This window comes from Homo sapiens, chromosome 5 (genome assembly GCF_000001405.40).
Source record: "Homo sapiens chromosome 5, GRCh38.p14 Primary Assembly".
NCBI lineage: Eukaryota > Metazoa > Chordata > Mammalia > Primates > Hominidae > Homo > Homo sapiens.
In genome coordinates this window covers 73,945,172-73,962,056 of record NC_000005.10, presented here as the reverse complement: position 1 = coordinate 73,962,056, position 16,885 = coordinate 73,945,172, and the positions used below count along the sequence as shown (strand labels likewise).

The 16,885-nt window shown below is 42.3% G+C and overlaps 1 long non-coding RNA gene across 1 annotated transcript in view; it reads right to left on the bottom strand.

Moving 5' to 3' along the window:
- The window catches only part of LOC105379034 (uncharacterized), a 36,735-nt gene extending 20,776 nt beyond the window's left edge, over window positions 1-15,959 (bottom strand). Inside the window, exon 1 of the long non-coding RNA XR_001742745.1 lies at window positions 14,560-15,959. This is a non-coding gene — a long non-coding RNA (uncharacterized LOC105379034). The remainder of the gene's footprint in view (window positions 1-14,559) is intronic.
- Between the last annotated feature and the right edge of the window lie 926 nt (window positions 15,960-16,885).

Genomic DNA, 16,885 nt, shown 5'->3' with positions numbered 1-16,885 from the left:
CTGTCTTCTCTTGAAAAATTCCTTGTGCAATCTGTGACGTCCACCTCAAAACTGGATTTTGCTCCCCTTTTTCAGGTTCCATGCAGTAATGTTGGAGAAATTATAAAATTGCATTTCTTTGTAAGAAGTGGCCCTAAAAAGACAGTCAACCAGCTTTATAAGTAACTTAAGTCCTATATTTATACACGTCATTAAGAGACTGAAGGAGCACTTAAATTTTTCTACAACACTTTATTGCATTGCATGAAGGATACTATTATGTTGTCAGAATTTTTGCAATTTTGCAGATTTGCTAAGGCTTTAGAATGTATCTCTGGTGAATTTCAGGGGTCTACTGCATATAATAAGCCACTAACTGTGTGGGAGAGATCAAAATGCTAACCTTAAGGAATCAGGGAAGGGATTCATGTGGGTTAGAATGATTAGGAAGACTTTCACCATTCACTACTGGAGCTTATGGACACACAGGCAAACTAATCTAAAGAGATAGGTTAGTTTTTTAAGATCACAGCAACATCTCTCAATTACCCAGAATTCAGATGTCTTGTAAATTTCCCTATCTAAAAAACTTTGGGGAAACATCAAAAGGACACTACAATATTCAAAATGGGTCTCACAACATCCACATACTGAAATGTGCCTATTTTATTCCTAAGAAAATCTCATTCAGAGACTCTTTACTCTCACCTTACTTAAAGTCCACTAAGATTGGGTACTGGTCTCTTCATTCAAAGTTGAGTAGAAATGACTAGTTTAAGGAGAAATCGTAGAAGTAGGCCTACTGATAGCAGCAAGAAGTTACACCAACAGAATGACAGCAATGAAGGATAGAAAAAATATTCTAAAAATCAGAACCAAGAATTCCAAAGGCCTCACTACCCAGAGCCATCTAGCGACAAAACCTTGGTAACACGTTGGCCAAACCTGGACCGGTATAAGGATGACGGTTTAACGCTCGCTCTGACTTATCAAAAAAAAGGCTAACTTGTGTTGAAAATTGTTGTTCAGGATGTCAGAGAACTATGTTACACATTTCAAAAAAGATTTTCATTTAAATGACTAAAATAAATACATATTTACTCAAAGGGAATAAGTTTCAGTTATCTGGAATATTCTTATCATGCATGGCTTAATTCCCCAATAATGCTGGAGAGGTGTGACTGTATTGTATCTCGTAAAGTTATGTGTATATGTTCAATTTGTAAAAACATGAGGAAACAATCAGTGTTCAGAGAGATAACCATTCTTTTTAATTATAATCCATTTGAGTCAAACTGTAAATATTGCCATACCTGAACACAAAATGAAATAAACATGCTCAAGGATATTTACTGACCCACACTAACTCTGTGAGTCAATTTGATTTCAAAATGAACTGCCTCCAAAGCACTCCAAACCCCCTTCCTCTCACATGCAACAGAGGCAAGGCTGGACATTACAAGACAGAAAACAGAACAACCAAAACATATTGCTCATTAACCACAAGCATATGGAACACTCAAGCATGTTTTAATCAGTGTGGTCCAATTGAACCACAGTACCGAGGTACATCACTTCCAGTAAATGGACACTAATTATTTTCCATTAAAGAAGTATCAAGTAGCAGTCTCAAAATCAGGCCCTTCTAAATTACTCTTCTGTTCAATAACCCTGTCATCTATAAGGGTATGCATTATGTGGTGCTTGATACCCCAGCCGGAAGTAATACAGAGCTACTCTGCAGTCAATTCTTCTCATGTCACTTTGATAGAGAGGGTGCTTTCTCCTCCAAGTCAAATGGAAAAAGGGTTTGGCCTTTAGCATGTGTCTTCTCTCAGGTGTTTGTGGTTAGGTCAGGCAGGACCACCTGCACCGGAAGTGGGACAGATAGCAAGGGAAAGAACACTTCTCTGGAGGCTGGAGGCAGTATGAAAAAAAGAGGAAATGAACATCTTGTTCGCATGTATGAGTCCACACTCAGGTCCAATGTCTGCAGGAAAACTAAGGTTTTCGGAAAGCATCTGGAGAGCAAAGTTAAACATAAAAAAGAAATCGGCCGTGCATGGTGGCTCACGCCTGTAATCCCAGCACTTTGGGAGGCTGAGGCGGGTGGATCACGAGGTCAGGAGTTCAAGACCAGCCTGGCCAAGGTGGTGAAACCCCATCTCTACTAAAAATACAAAAATTAGCCAGGCGTGGTGGTGCACGCCTGTAATCCCAGCTACTCCGGAGGCTGAGGCAGAGGTTGCAGTGAGCTGAGATCGCACCACCGCACTCCAGCCTGGGTGACAGAACAAGACTCCATCTCAAAAAAAAAAAAAAAAAAAAAAAAAAAAAAGTAAGACAATTTCTGAAGTTGAAAACTGAAGCACCTTTTTTCCCTGTCAACTCTGACTCTCAAACTCAGAATTAGCATCATTATCATCATTTTCATCATCATCATTATTACATCACTTATTTTTTCAGTATTTTGTATAAATGAAGCCCTATGCCAAGCATTTTACATACACACATGCTCTTACCTAATCCTATGAGGTAGCTATGACCTTCCTATTTTTATTGTTAAGGAAACAAAAAAGTAGCTAAAGAGACTTGCTTAAGTGATACAAAGTGGTAGAATTGGGATTTGAATCCAGGCATCTGACTCCAAAACCCATTCACTAATGGACATTCTTACACCCATCAAAGTAACCACGTCACCCCTACAACCTCTTCCATGGTGTCGGGCTCAAGAAAACCCTCTAAGTCCTGGTTGGAGGAAGTGGTCCCGTCCAAAAAGGGTTTCAGTTTAGGAGTGAAAGGGCTCCAACTCTCTGAGACTTGCAAGGCCACACTCAGATTCCTGTCTTTGCTGCCCTCTGGCCCCCTATACCTCCCAATCAAAATGTCTAGTGTCTCATTATACCCTAAGTCTGCTTTCACTGCCATGCCCAAGTAGTGTGACTACAACCCATCCATGTAGTTATACCTTAGAGAGGGAAAGAATGATTGAACTCTAGGGAAAGGACTTTCCTCATTGCAGTTGCCTTTAAACATACATAAGATCAATTGCCTAGTCCGAGAGCTGCCAGGTCTTAAATAAGTCCTAGGTAGGTTAAAACACCAATTAGTGGTTTCTTCTTATCCACCTGCCAATCATCTCAAATGTGTCTATCGTAATCATTTTTATTTTCCCATAAAGTTGATTGGTTTCTTGCAATTAAAATCCTTCAGCATCACCTTCCCTTGAGTTCCCATTACCAAATCTTCTTTAAAATGTCCATCTTTTTAATTAGGTGGCCCATGCAGATGAAGCCAAATTCTTTGGCTGGCCAGGAGGAAAAATGTGCCATAAGGAAAGAGGTGACAAAACAGTTGATCTCTCTTTCTGCATCCCATCTGTTCCATCCCCAGTCACCTCTTTTGCTTAGGGAAAGAGGAACACCTAATACATTTTCCTTTTTAGTTGAACCGTGGGCATCAGCTTCCTCTTTCTTTCATCTCTGTCTTTAGGTACATAACATGCTTGTTTCTTTTGCCTGGTTGATAGTTTCCTCTGGGAACTGTGAAAGTTATCAAAATCAAAATGGAGTCACTAATGTGAGAAGGGAAAAAAACACTGACAAATAGAGCTGGGGAAGGTCATGAAAAGAGGGTTCTCATGCTTTTATGCCTGATAACAAAAATTATCACAAAAAGACTGCACAAACCACAGCCTTGACCAACAGCCATCACAACCTTACACACACAAAAAAAAATACTTCTGCAAGGACATCTGCTCATCAACTGCCCGTCCAGCCTCAGACTGGTGTCACCCTTGTTATTGATCTTTGCAGCCAAAGATAATTATTTTAAAACAATTGCGCAACCCTCCTTATTTTTTTCCTTTAAAAACCTTTGTCTTCCTTTACCTGCCTGAATATGCATGTCATTTGCTGTACCACACATATTCCCATGAAACTGCTCTATTCCCAAATAAATATCTTTTTCTATTAGAGAGCCACTCCCTGTTATTTAGGTTGACAGAACTAAGCTGTTAGGTGATTTGCATACTTGGGTAGCCAACAACACTTAATCCCTGCCTTTTTTCTCTCTCCCTTCCCATTTACTATCAGACCCTTTTATCACAGCTATCCTTCTCCTGAAATCATAAATAGCCATCAGCTTCTCATGGCCTTTGCCAGAGTTGCCCACTCTCTGAAGACTCCTCCCTACTTGTGGGAACCAAACAGAACTAGCTAAGTTTCCCACCTCCTCCAAACTTATCACCAAAACCTTCAAAGCTTGTTGTGTCCCAGCCCACACAGTTGATTGGGGGAAAGGGAGGGAAGTCAGATCAGCTGGAGCCTAGCACAGAAGAGTGGCTGGTGTGGAAAACTGGGAACTGAGGGAACATCAAGGGCTGGGCCCAGGCAGGGCTGAGCCTGGGAGCAGGAGCCAGAAGCCCCAGAAGGTTAAATCAAGAGCAAAAGTACGTAGACCCAGAGTGATGTGAGAGGTGGGAACCAGAAGAGGAGATGAGTCACACGGAGCAACAGAATGCTGGGGGCCTATCCAAAGGAAGAGCTCCGTCCAAACAAGTCAGGACAGGAGATGCATGAGTGTGAGGTGAATCCAAGGGCAGGAATCAGGGAGTCCTGAAGGGAACAGGAGCTAAAGGGAAGTAGGGGTCATGTGCAAAGCAACAAGAAGACAGGAGAAGGGGTGTGTGGTGCATTCTCCAAGGGCTGAGTCTAGCATCTACCGCTGAGACAGCATTCCCACCATCTTCCACGTCTGTTCATTCTAGAAGCATGTGACAGTCCACATGCTGTAAAGCCACCATGAATGGCTTCTGACAGTCTGTCATTCCTCTCTGATCTGGGGCATTGTTTTCCAATCAACATTCAGGACACTTGAATCCAATTTTGCACTCTAAAGACTATTCCTTTGCTAGTTAGGGGTCAGACCTTGACTCAACTTCCAATATTGCTAGGTACTATTGATTAACTTGATTGGTTTTGATCTACAAAATGGCAATTTCACATGGTTCAACCTAATTTTACCTGACCTTGGACAGGTTACATCACTTCTCCAAGCCTCGGTTTTCTTTCCTGTAACATGAAGAAAATAATACCCACCATTGGCCAGGTACGGTGGCTTACGCCTGTAATCCCAGCACTTTGGGAGGCCGAGGTGGGTGGATCACGAGGTCAGGAGATCTAGACCATCCTGGCTAACACAGTGAAACCCCATCTCTAAAAAATACAAAAAATTAGCTGGGCGTGGTGGCGGGCACCTGTAGTCCCAGCTACTTGGGAGGCTGAGGCAGGAGAATGGCATGAACCCAGGAGGTGGAGCTTGCAGTGAGCCGAGATCGCGCCACTGCACTCCAGCCTGGGCAACAGAGCGAGACTCCGTCTCAAAAATAATAATAATAATAATAATAATACCTACCATTCATTGGTGATTAGATGAATTAATGTATTTTACAGTGCTTGGTATAATGTCTTATACCTGGTAAATGCTCAATAAATACTAGGTATTGTTATCCTGGATTTGCAGGAATAATAAACATCTTAGAACTGAATTTGACAGTAAAACACTCTGAATTCTCCCTTAGCAGGTAATCTTTGACATACATAACACATTTGGTATTCTGTAGTACAAGGCCCATCATAGTTGTTTTATCTGCCTCTAAGTACAGTGGAGCATATGCTTAAAACCATGCATGGGCTTTGGAGTCTACCAGTCATTGGTTGAATCCTAGCTTCACCACTGAATGACCTTCAGCAAATTACTCAACTTCTCTGAACCTCAGCCTGCTTATCTGTAAATTTGGGATACAAATAGTACCTGCAGAGACATATTGCCTGTGAAGTGCTAGCATAGTGCATGGTAGATCATGAGTGCCTGATGAATGGTGGTCCCTGCATGCTGGCCAGATCTCAATTCCAACCTAGATCCGTCCACTAATTCCAGCTCCAGTATGAAGACACACCAACCCTTATGTAGGAAGGAGAACGTTAAGCACATGCTCCTACCCTCCATTCTGGTGGTCCTGGATTTACCCTGCCATTGGCTTGTTTTGTTGGGTGGCCAAATGTTTCATTTCAGGTAAATCTGGAAGGCAGTTTGGCTTGGTCTTGGAACAACTCTTACTTTGCTTGTGGTTTCTGAGTTTTAGGTTGATAAAGAATTCTTGGCAGAAGGAGAGTTTCTCATTCAAAATAAAACAGCTTGTTCTTAATTTTTTTTAAAAAAAAAAAGCTCATTAAGTTTCTGGGACATAAAATGGCTCTTCTGAAGGAGAATGTAAATTGGCTTCAGCAGAAGTATCACACAGAAGCAGAGAGAGTACATTTCTTCTACATGCAGATGGTTTTCAGAACTTGGTGCAAAGAGCCAGCAAGGCACACATTGGGTGCAGTTGAGGCTGAAATGTCTGGAGGCGTCTGGCTGAGCCTGGTCTGCCTGCTGCTTTTCCCAGTGGGAAGCTGAGTGATACCAACCGCACTGCAGCCAGATGGCATGTCGCTACTGGGAAACAGGTTATATCATCTCATAGAAAAAACTGCACTAACATGCCAACTTTCTTCAGCTCAAATCAAAGGCCCACTCCTCTTTCATCTTTCTGGCTCTGTGTCTTCCAGGCCCCCAAGTTGCCATGTGTGGCTCATTCTTTGCATTGAGATCACCAGAGTTTATCAGCTCAGCTAGAGTAGAGTAAGCCACACTGCAAAAACAAACCACAGTGGTAACATGGAAGCTGCGAAAGTAGCTAAGTAAACACCATCAGAACATGGGCATAGTGTGGGGAACTAACAAGGGCCACGGGGCAATTGCATTTTGGGCAAAGGGAATGAGATATTTGGACCCTATAACAAAAGGGGATCATTCTATTGGAATCACTGGCTTAAGAAAAGGTATTGGGGGTCAATTAATGAGTCAATCAAGATTCTGATATCCTTTTATCTTTTGATATGAAATAATCTATGGATTCAGAGTGGTCTTTGTGGAATCTGTGGGAACAAGTTCAAGCGTGGGAAGAAAATTAGAGCTGGACCCATTTAGTCTCTAATCTACCTGCAGAGATTCAGGGGATTTTTCTGCCTTATGCAATAACATATCACACTGGGTTCAACAAATTGTAACTGAGAATCCACTGGGTCAGAAGACAGAACCGATAGGAATTCCTACGATACCCAAATAGAGACAGCCAGAAGCCTCCACTCCTGGGAAATGACTCCTTTCTCTCCAAGTCTAGTCTAGGGAATATAATTAATCTTGGCCCAGGGAAATGGATTGAAACCAAATTGGTTTTGTTGTGTCTTATACTAATAGCCAGTGTCTCACCCTTCTTGATTACATGTACTACACTGGAACAGTCAGATCATTTCTCCTAAAATTAGCATCTTGCCTGAGAGGTAGCTTTCACCAAAACAACAGCAAATTCCATTCCTTTTTGTTCTTTGGGTTTTGTGGTGACTGTAGCAGAAGTTCCTGAGTAGAAAAACAAAAACCATTATACTTATGCATCACTCAAGTGATGACAACTTGAGGACCTTTTCATTCCTCCTTCCCTTTACCATCCCTTCTGGAGGGGTGGCAAATTCACCATCAGCAGTTCCCAGGGGAAGTCACGAAGTTCCTGGTGTTCTGGCGAAGACAGACAGATGGTGAAAGACCAGAGAACCAACCAGCTAATGATGATCTAAGAACATGCAGCATCATTTTCCTATCTTTGACAATGATTAATTAGAAAAACCTTCTTTTTCTACTGTGGGAAAGTGGCTTATACCTGTTTGCTTATCTACTTCTGGATGATATTGTGAGAATGAACAAAGGGTCTGAAATCTACTTTTAATTTCTCAGATAAAAGAACTTATATAAATAAGTTATATCAAGGGAGTAGTGGGGATGGTGAATGCCTTTGTTCAAATGAAGTATCAGGAAGTCAGCTCCAAATAACAGCTATTGATAAAATGATGGAAGGGTCCTGAGGGCTTGCTATGCATTCTCCAAGAGCTTTACATGTACCTCAAAATAGCCTTACGAGGTGGTGTCAGTCCGTCTGGGCTGCCATAACAAAGCACCATAGACTGTGTGGCTTATAAACAACAGAAATTTATTTTCTCACAGTTCTGGAGGCTGGAAATCTGAGATCAGGGTGCCAGGCTAGTCGGGCTGTGATGAGGGCTTTCTTTCTGATTGCAGACTGCCGACTTCTTGTTGTATCCTCACATGGCGTGGAGCACAGAGAGACAGCCTGCGTCTCCTCCTTTTTTATAAGGGCATTAATCCTATCCTGAGGGCCCCACTCGCATAACCTTATTTAACTTAATTTCCTCCCAAAGGCCCTACCTCCAAATACCATCACACTGGGGCTGGGGGTTAGGGTTTCAACATATGAGTGGGCGAGGGGGACACAAACCTTCAGCCCATAACTGAGGAAGATAATATTATTATTCCCAGCTAACAGATGAAAAATGGAGGCACAGAAAGGCTAGATTCCAACTTAAGGACTTACAGGTAGTAAGTAGTAGCACTGGGCCTGAAATCCAGGCGGTCAGGCTCTAGAATCTGGGCTCATAACCACTACTTTGTGTTGCCTTCTATATTCACTTTAGGTCTGTTGAGGCTCCTGGCTCTACGGCATTCTATTTAAGCTATTTCTGTGAAGTAGAGAAAATGATGTGGACAAATTTCTTTTTCAGAGGCTAGGATTCTCTCTGGCAGATTCCAGTGGATGAACACCTATCTAATGAATTCTGGATGAGTTAACCTTAAATCACTTTTGCCCCCTATGCACTCCCTGCACCACTCCCATGCTTAGTGAACACCTTCAGACTGCTCCTCCTGGAGGAGTACTTTGGAGCTTCAATACAAACCCTGTTGAACGTTTTGGAGGCAAAATATCTACATTGGCAGCATAAACCCTAACCCTGTTCATGAGCAAGGCCAGCAATGAAGCTCTGCCCGCTGGAATTATGCCAGCCATTTCTAGATGCTAATTCGTAATGTGATGTTGCCCAGATGAGTCCATCAGCAGACTTGTCACTGGCAGTTGTTAGAATTACCCAGCCCACTAAAGCCCTTTCTTGCTTTGCAGTCAGGGTTGGAGCCAAGGGTGGGATGGCTGTGCCCAGTGGGCTACACAAGGCTGGCAGCCAGTGCTCAGAGCCTCTGGCAATTAGCACAGTTCCTACAGTTCCTTAAACAATGCTGATGGACCCTTGTCTTTCATTAAGCTGCCTGAAAGTCAATCTCCTGATGGATCCCAGAGGAAAAATCAAAAAGGAGAGTTTATTTTCAGCAGTTTAATAGCAATCAACTTAAGAAGTACCTAAAAAATGATTATTAAATATTTCTCCAAGGAGCAAATTAAGATAAATACCCTAAGAGTTATTTCACATAGATCTGTTTAGAAAATGTCCGATTAGGATAATATAAACCACATTTAAGGACCAAAGGGACTGTTTTGCTTCACTCCTTTTTGCCATTGTTGATATTTTAGGTTTCTAAGGGAATGATTGTTTTACAAGTTCAAGAGTAGCATACCCTCTCAAGGGAAGTACTGGGATACAATATGGCGGCACAGTATCTTATTCCACCCTCGACTTTGTGAGTCAATGCCTTCTTAACAAGAGTCCGAACTGAAGTGAATTTAGACCAATGAATGGAGCCTGATTAAGAGGACTAACCTCATTGTCAATCAAATTTTGTGCCTATTGATATGACTTCTAGGGCAGACTTGTGCTTTTCTCTCCCTTTAACAAATAAAATGAGCATCTACTTTTCCTGAAAGGAAACTGGTTTTTTTTGTTTGTTTGTTTTTTGTTTTGAGACGGAGTTTCGCTCTGTCGCCCATGCTGGAGTGCAGTGGCGCAATCTCTGCTCACTGCAAGCTCCGCCTCCCGGGTTCACGCCATTCTCCTGCCTCAGCCTCCCCAGTAGCTGGGATTACAGGCACCCGCCACCACGCCCGGCTAATTTTTTGTATTTTTAGTAGAGACGGGGTTTCACTGTGTTAGCCAGGATGGTCTCGATCTCCTGACCTCGTGATCCACCCGCCTCGGCCTCCCAAAGTGCTGGGATTACAGGCGTGAGCCACCGTGCTCGGCCCGAAACTAACGGTTCTTTTGTCGTGTTGATGTTGACTGGGCTTCCAGAAGGCCCCTGTCAATCTGGCTTCCAGATAAATATTCCCTGGAATAATTTCATTCCAAAGAATTTAAAGTACTTGGAGTTGATCCTTTGAGTTAAAATCCTTTACAAGTGTCACTTCATTAATCTTCAGTGAGAGGGTGAACTTTACGATGAGACCATTTTATGGATGAGGAAAGCTGAAGCACAAGGGTTTTATGGCAACTGAGAAGGGCCTGAGGCTGGCTCTCAGTGATGGCTTCTTCCCACTCACAGCCTTCTGCCTCTATCATGCCTCACAGCAAAGTAGAGTCAGCCTCTTCCCAAAACAGGTGATCGATTTCCAAAGGAGGGTGGGTGGTTTAGTTTTCTGATCTGAGTTTTTCAAACCTCCCACGTTTGGCAGGTCAAGGCAGGACCAATCTACTTCTAGAATCCATTTTTGTTGGCTGTCTATAAGGCTAGTATGTCTCAAGCACATTGGGAAATTAAAGAAAACAACCATTAGTGTTTCTGACACATGAAATGCCTACCAGGGTCTTTTCTACCAGGGTCTTTTTCCTGCTCATTATGAAGGCTAATATGAAAATATTGCTATAGTGAGCAGAAGAAAAGCAGTATCTGAATGACTTTTCGTCTCAATGCAGTGCAAATGCCTGCAGTTCAAATGCAGGAACTGCCTCATCTCCTTTGCTTTTGGCCAGGAAGAGCTCATTTATTACCCATCACTAGGAAGAGCATGGCAGAGCCCTCATTATCTTGGATCCATGCTTTCCAAATCAATCAGCTCCCCGCTACACTGCTGGGCTTTCTAATTTAAATGTCAGCTAAAGTTAGAATATGTTCTTTAAAAATGTCAGAGCCTCGTTAACTTTGGCTTTGTGTTGCCCTGTCTATCACAATGAGGTTGGCAATGTTAAGGAAATTATTTTTCTAAGAATTCTTGAACTAAGGCTCCTCTTTGAATTTCAATGATACTCTTCCTAAAAGTCTTGCTCTGGTTCAAAATCAAGATGTTCCATATTACTGGCATCTACAAATAGCCACTTTTCAGAATGTATAAGGATTTCTAAATGACTTCTCACTTTTGAATTCACACTGTGAAAAATATTCTAAAAGCTGAAATTTGATCCATGTTTTTCAATGGGCTTTTGCGGTTTGGCAACTGATCTTGGACAGGACTGTCCTACTCACCACAGGACCTTTAGCTTTCCTGCTTCTCCTGTTCACTTAATGCTAGTAATTCTTCCCAGTTATTGTGATCTTGGAGTGCAGAACATGATACCCCAAAGTATGACACCTTGGTGTGTTGAGTACTTTGAACTGAAAGAGACTGGAAGGGCCTCAAAAGCAAGATCTTCTGACCTTCCCCCACCCTCCTGTCTCCTGTCGCTCTTTCTTCCCCAAGCAAATCATAGAAACCAGAATTCCTCTTCCCCAAAGGTGAGTCATAGAAACTCGAGTCCCTCTCTCCCAAAGCAAGCCATAAAACCTAGAAAGGCCACTGTCTTCCTTTTCTCTTCTCCTTTGAAGACCCTTATTCTAGAGAGGTCCTGCTCCAAACCTGGGAAGAAGAAATGCTACACAGAGAAGGGACTGGGATTAGTGCCCTTATAAAAGAAGCCTCAGAGAGCTGCCTTGCTTCTTCCACCACGTAAGGACTCAGCTAGAAGGAGCCATCTATAAACCAGAAGAGGAGCCCTCACCAGACACTGAATCTGCCAGAGCCTTTAGCTTGGGCTTCTCAGCCTCCAGAACTATGAACAATAAATTCTGTCCTCTATAAGCTACCCAGTCTATGGTATTTTGTTTTAACAGCCAAAAGACTAAGACAGCGAAATGGTGGATCATGTCTACAGCATGATAGCAACTGGGCAATTGGGTACTTTTGGCCTCATACTAACATATGGAAGGACAAAATGGAAGGAAAATGGTAGTTTGTTTAAGTATACTGAAGTGACTTCAAACAGTGTGCGTATACAAACAAGTATGGATGAAGGCACACACACACAGAGAATACATACTAATGTCTGCCAAATATAAAACACTTCTCGAAATTTGATGATTTAGAGGGAAAGTGGATTTTCTTCTTGAATTAACTCCCTGTGCTGGCTCTGGTTTTATTGGTTTCAAGCTTTCCATTGTTGCTCTTTTCCTAAAGCATTTAACAGATGTCCCTTCAAAGGCATTGAACCACTGCTGTTGTTTTTTCTCTCACCCCAATTTCCTTTTCAGTTCACAAAGTACCCAGAATATACTTTCTCCTGTATCTATATGTGGTGGGGAGAAAGAAAAGGCAAACAGAATTATATTTAATAAGTCACTTTTCTTATTAATACCCAGAGATGTAAAAATCAATCACAGTTGATTCAAATGGCAAATACTACTTTCTGTAGCCTCACTAAATGCTTTCTCCGATGAGATAAATGGACATAATCCTCAAATGACAAGAAACATGGAATATACAACAGATTTAACAGTCATGTTTAAGGGTGAGTGAACTTTAGGTCGCAGTTGTAGAGGACAATGCGGAAATGAAGATGCAGACTTAAGTTTTCTCCCCAGATAGTGATAAATTCACATTGATCCAATTTGTCCCTGTTTCCCTGTCTCTATGGCTCTTAATAGCACAACCAAAAGATGTCTGATTTCTAAGATGGAAGAGTGCTGCCTGCAGCCTTCACCTAGTTGTTTTTTGTTTGTTTGTTTGTTTTGTTTTGTTTTAAACTGCCCCATTCATAGACTGAAACCCTCACAGAATCAGGCTGTAATTAGTGACATGTAGAGACATGGCAAGACTGGGAAAACTTATGTCTGTGGATGTGCCTGACTCCTTAGAGGTGTAGGAGTTTGACGAGACACATGCTTTAGTTGAGAGTGTGCTCTTGCACACACCACCACACACACACATACACAAACACTTGACCTCCCAGGCCACGCAATTCCCCATTGCATCATTACTTTCTAACTCATCCTGCATAGTCTGTGGGTGGGAAGAGGCCAAATTTGGGCCACCAGGACACAGTCCACCAGGAAACAAAGTACCTCTGTGATGCTTTTTGATTCAGACAACCCCACCTCCACAGCTGCGAGACAAACAAAAAATGATCATGCTTCAAAAGCTACCAGTTCAAGCAAAACTGCTGCCAACCCAGCAGAAAAGCCTTTAGACATTTTTAAGCCATTAACTACTTCCTGCCAACCAGGAGGCTATATGGGGACACCACTCACTGGGGCCACTAAGCAGGATTCCAATGGAACCTAATCTGCTGAATTCAGACCTAAACCTCATGTTACTATATTACTTAAGAGAAAATAGAAATACAGTGTTTTAAAAAGCAAAAGATTTAGTTCAAACTGAAACAAATATTCTCCAAATTAAACTCAAACCAGACTGATGTTTCATTCACTTTCCAGTCTTAAAGGCATTCCCATGACAATTTCTCCTTGGCAGTTGCGCAGCCAGTGTCTCTCTTGGCTATCAATTCGCTGATGACAATACTACCAGGGGGCTGGACAACTAATAGAGCTCCAGTCTGCAAACTTGGCCTTCCTGCCAGGCAGCTTAAAAACCATTTACACAGTCCAGTTTGACTTTCGAGTGTTCAGAGAGATGGGTCGTTTGAACTCACTGATCCAAGAACATGTTTTTGTATATTCCTGGGCCTATCATAAATCAGACCAAAAAAGAAAGAAAGGTTGGACTGCTTGGCCATTTCAAGCAATTATTCTGTCTGGCATGGGTGGAGGAGAAAATAGAGTAGTGTCAGCAGAGTTATCAGCAGTTAGTTCTACTGAAGAAAATGTCACATGTCCGGTGCCAAGCACGTCTGACTGCTTTGTCTCGGATTGTCTCTATTTTTCTTTCTCTCTCACGTACACACATACCCTCTTTAATTACTAACAGAAAATAGTGCATTCTGCACACTTCACATCTGTTCAAGCCTTAATTAATCCAACTCTCATAGTCTCCATAGCAACGATGCTTAACAGGCTCAGATTCCACATTAGAAAACCTTCCTCTAAGTGAGTGACTCAAAATATGGCCATTACAAAAATGTTTACATTAATTCTGTGTCAGATATAATAAGAAATTTGCATGGAGGGAGTTTGGATGGAAAGATGGAGTTGTATGATCACATTCAGCTTCATCATAGTAAAAACTGCCCCAAACTAGGAACAGAAGTTAACATTAATTTTCTAAGCTATTGCAAAAAAAAAAAAGAAAAGAAAACATAATCCCATTACTACCTTTATGTTACTAGCAATTCCTGTGCTACGGAAGATTAACGACCACAGTTGCCTCGATGGAGCACACAGTTACTGTTCGTAGGGTAGCAAGAAGAAACGCAAGTGTTTTTAAAAAAAAAAAAAAAAAAAAAAAAAACTCTTCAGGAGGTGTGTTTCCTGAGCTATGGCTCTACAGACCTTAATTAAAAGCCTATTGTCCTTTGCTGGCACCTGCCAGCATCTTACCCAAATCAGAGCTTGTCAGCAGCAGAGAGGTGGACCAAGGCTTTCCAAGGAGGCTGTGAAGCTGCCACGGGAAATGTCAAGCACATTTCTAAGAGCCTGTTTTAGCTCCGTGGCCAATGCAGATGCTGTCGTTCATGCTGGCTATGTTTGTGTTTATATTTGAAGCTGTTATGTTAGAGATTGTAAAAATAAGCACTGGCAACTATGCAGAAAACCTGCTCAGACATTATACAGGGTGTGAGGGGCTGGGGCGAGTAGTGGTAAAGAGAGCATGAAAAAATGAAGCCAGGCATTTACCCCCAAATGGCATTTCAGCCCATACCCGCTTCCATCATTAAATGTTTAACTTGGGTTGCTAACAAGAAGTAAACCATTCATCAGAGTTCTAGCTGCTTTCTCCCTCACTGTTTCCTTCTATGAATAGGCAAACAACCCAAAACCAGCTCAGGAGAGAAAGAAAAGAACTTAGACACACTCTTGAGTAAGTAAAAATACATGTTAGGAGACAAATCAGATCTCATTTATGAAATAAAATGGAGACACTCAATTGAGCTTCTGAACAAGAAGAGAAGGTTTTTCATACTTTCCCTAGGGACTGAAATTGTGTGCCCTAGGAGACAGTTTAACCCTGGATTGCCTGGAGACAGAGCCAAGTTAAATTTATTGCCAGACCTATGCATAAAAAAGGGGAAGGTGGAAATTGGGGCTCTTCCAGAAATAAGGAACAGTTCTCTAATGTAACTATAGAATCTAGTGAAATTAGCAAAGAAAATATAATCCTGTGTTCGTACCAAGTTCATTCTTTCTCCTTGGGCAATTGTTATGAGACCCATAGCTGCTGGTAGTATCTAAAACCTTTGACTTTCTGCCATTCAAAGAGTAGACAACTAGGATTCAAATAATGGCATGTTGAAGTTTCTCAGCCATGAAGCTTCTACAGAACCACTGAACCATGGTCCCTTGTTACTTCACCCAAAACGATGTTCAATCATCAACTCGAGCTGACTGCTTTGAACTCACCAGCCAGAGGCAAAGAAATGTAATGGATCAGAGTTCTAGTTCTAGTTCTGACGACCCTTTGATCTCTGATTTCCAAAGACTCTTGTTCATCCTCTCATCCAATAAGTAGCATGAAGCTCTTACTCTGAGCCCAGCATCCTAACAGGCTTTGATCTTCGACATCTCTCAGCACGGGAAAATGAGCTGGACAAAACCAAAGTAGCGATGCCCTAGCTACTTCGATTCTTGAGCATGCCCAAGCCTGCCTTCTTTCTACCCCTATCCCCAGCATATAACAACTGCTCTCATTTTTAGAGTGCTGACTGTATGCCGTTTACTGCACTGGGCTTCTTCAAGTAGTTCACAACAGCCCTGCAAGACATGGCTATTGTTATTATTTTTTATTTATTTATTTATTTATTTATTTTGAGACGAAGTCTCGCTCTTGTCCCCCAGGCTGGAGTGCAGTGACACGATCTCGGCCCACTGTAACCTCCGCCTCCCAGGTTCAAGCAATTCTCCTGCCTCAGCCTCTCGAGTAGCTGGGACTACAGGCACCTGCCACCATGCCTGGCTAATTTTTGTATTTTTAGTAGAGACGGGGTTTCGCCATGTTGGCCAGGCTGGTCTCGAACTCCTGACTTCAGGTGATCCGGACATAGCTATTATTATCCTCATTTCATAGGTAAGCAAACCTAGCTCAGAAGCAAGGTTGCAGGATTGTACAACTCCATAAGTTTCCACTCACGTTGGAATCTACGCGTATGTGTGCTCCAGAGCATGAATAGTGCCCCCTGGTGGTGTGCAACCCTGTGGCCCTGGGGGAGATCCAGTAAGTAGGGCCCAAGTCTGTTTGGCTTTTCCATATTTTTTTGCTGCCTGTCTCACATTGGTAGAGGGACATCTGTGCATGAGAGGCAGTCAGGAAAGAAAAGAGCAAACTCTGCATGTCAATCAAGATAATTCTGGAATCTTCCATGTGTTCCCCTCCTTTTTTTCTTTTCCATGCTCCACTCAGCCCTAGGTGGTAGATTAAAACAGGGAGCTATGGGTAGCATCAGGGTTGGGTAAAAAATAAAGCAGAAGAGGTACATGAGCCTGTCTCTTTTTTTCTCCACTTACAATCTTGCCTTGTGGGTTATCATGCAAGTCATCAATCCACCCCTTAGCGGTACACTTAGGCATCCTCTTGGTCCCCTCTGTTCCAATAAGCATCTTCAGGTGATCCCAGGACCCCTTTTACTCTTAGTTTCTTGTGGCGTGGGATCAAATAGGAAGATATCCAATTCCCCATTTGACCAGAACCTACATTGCTTTATGGAAGAGG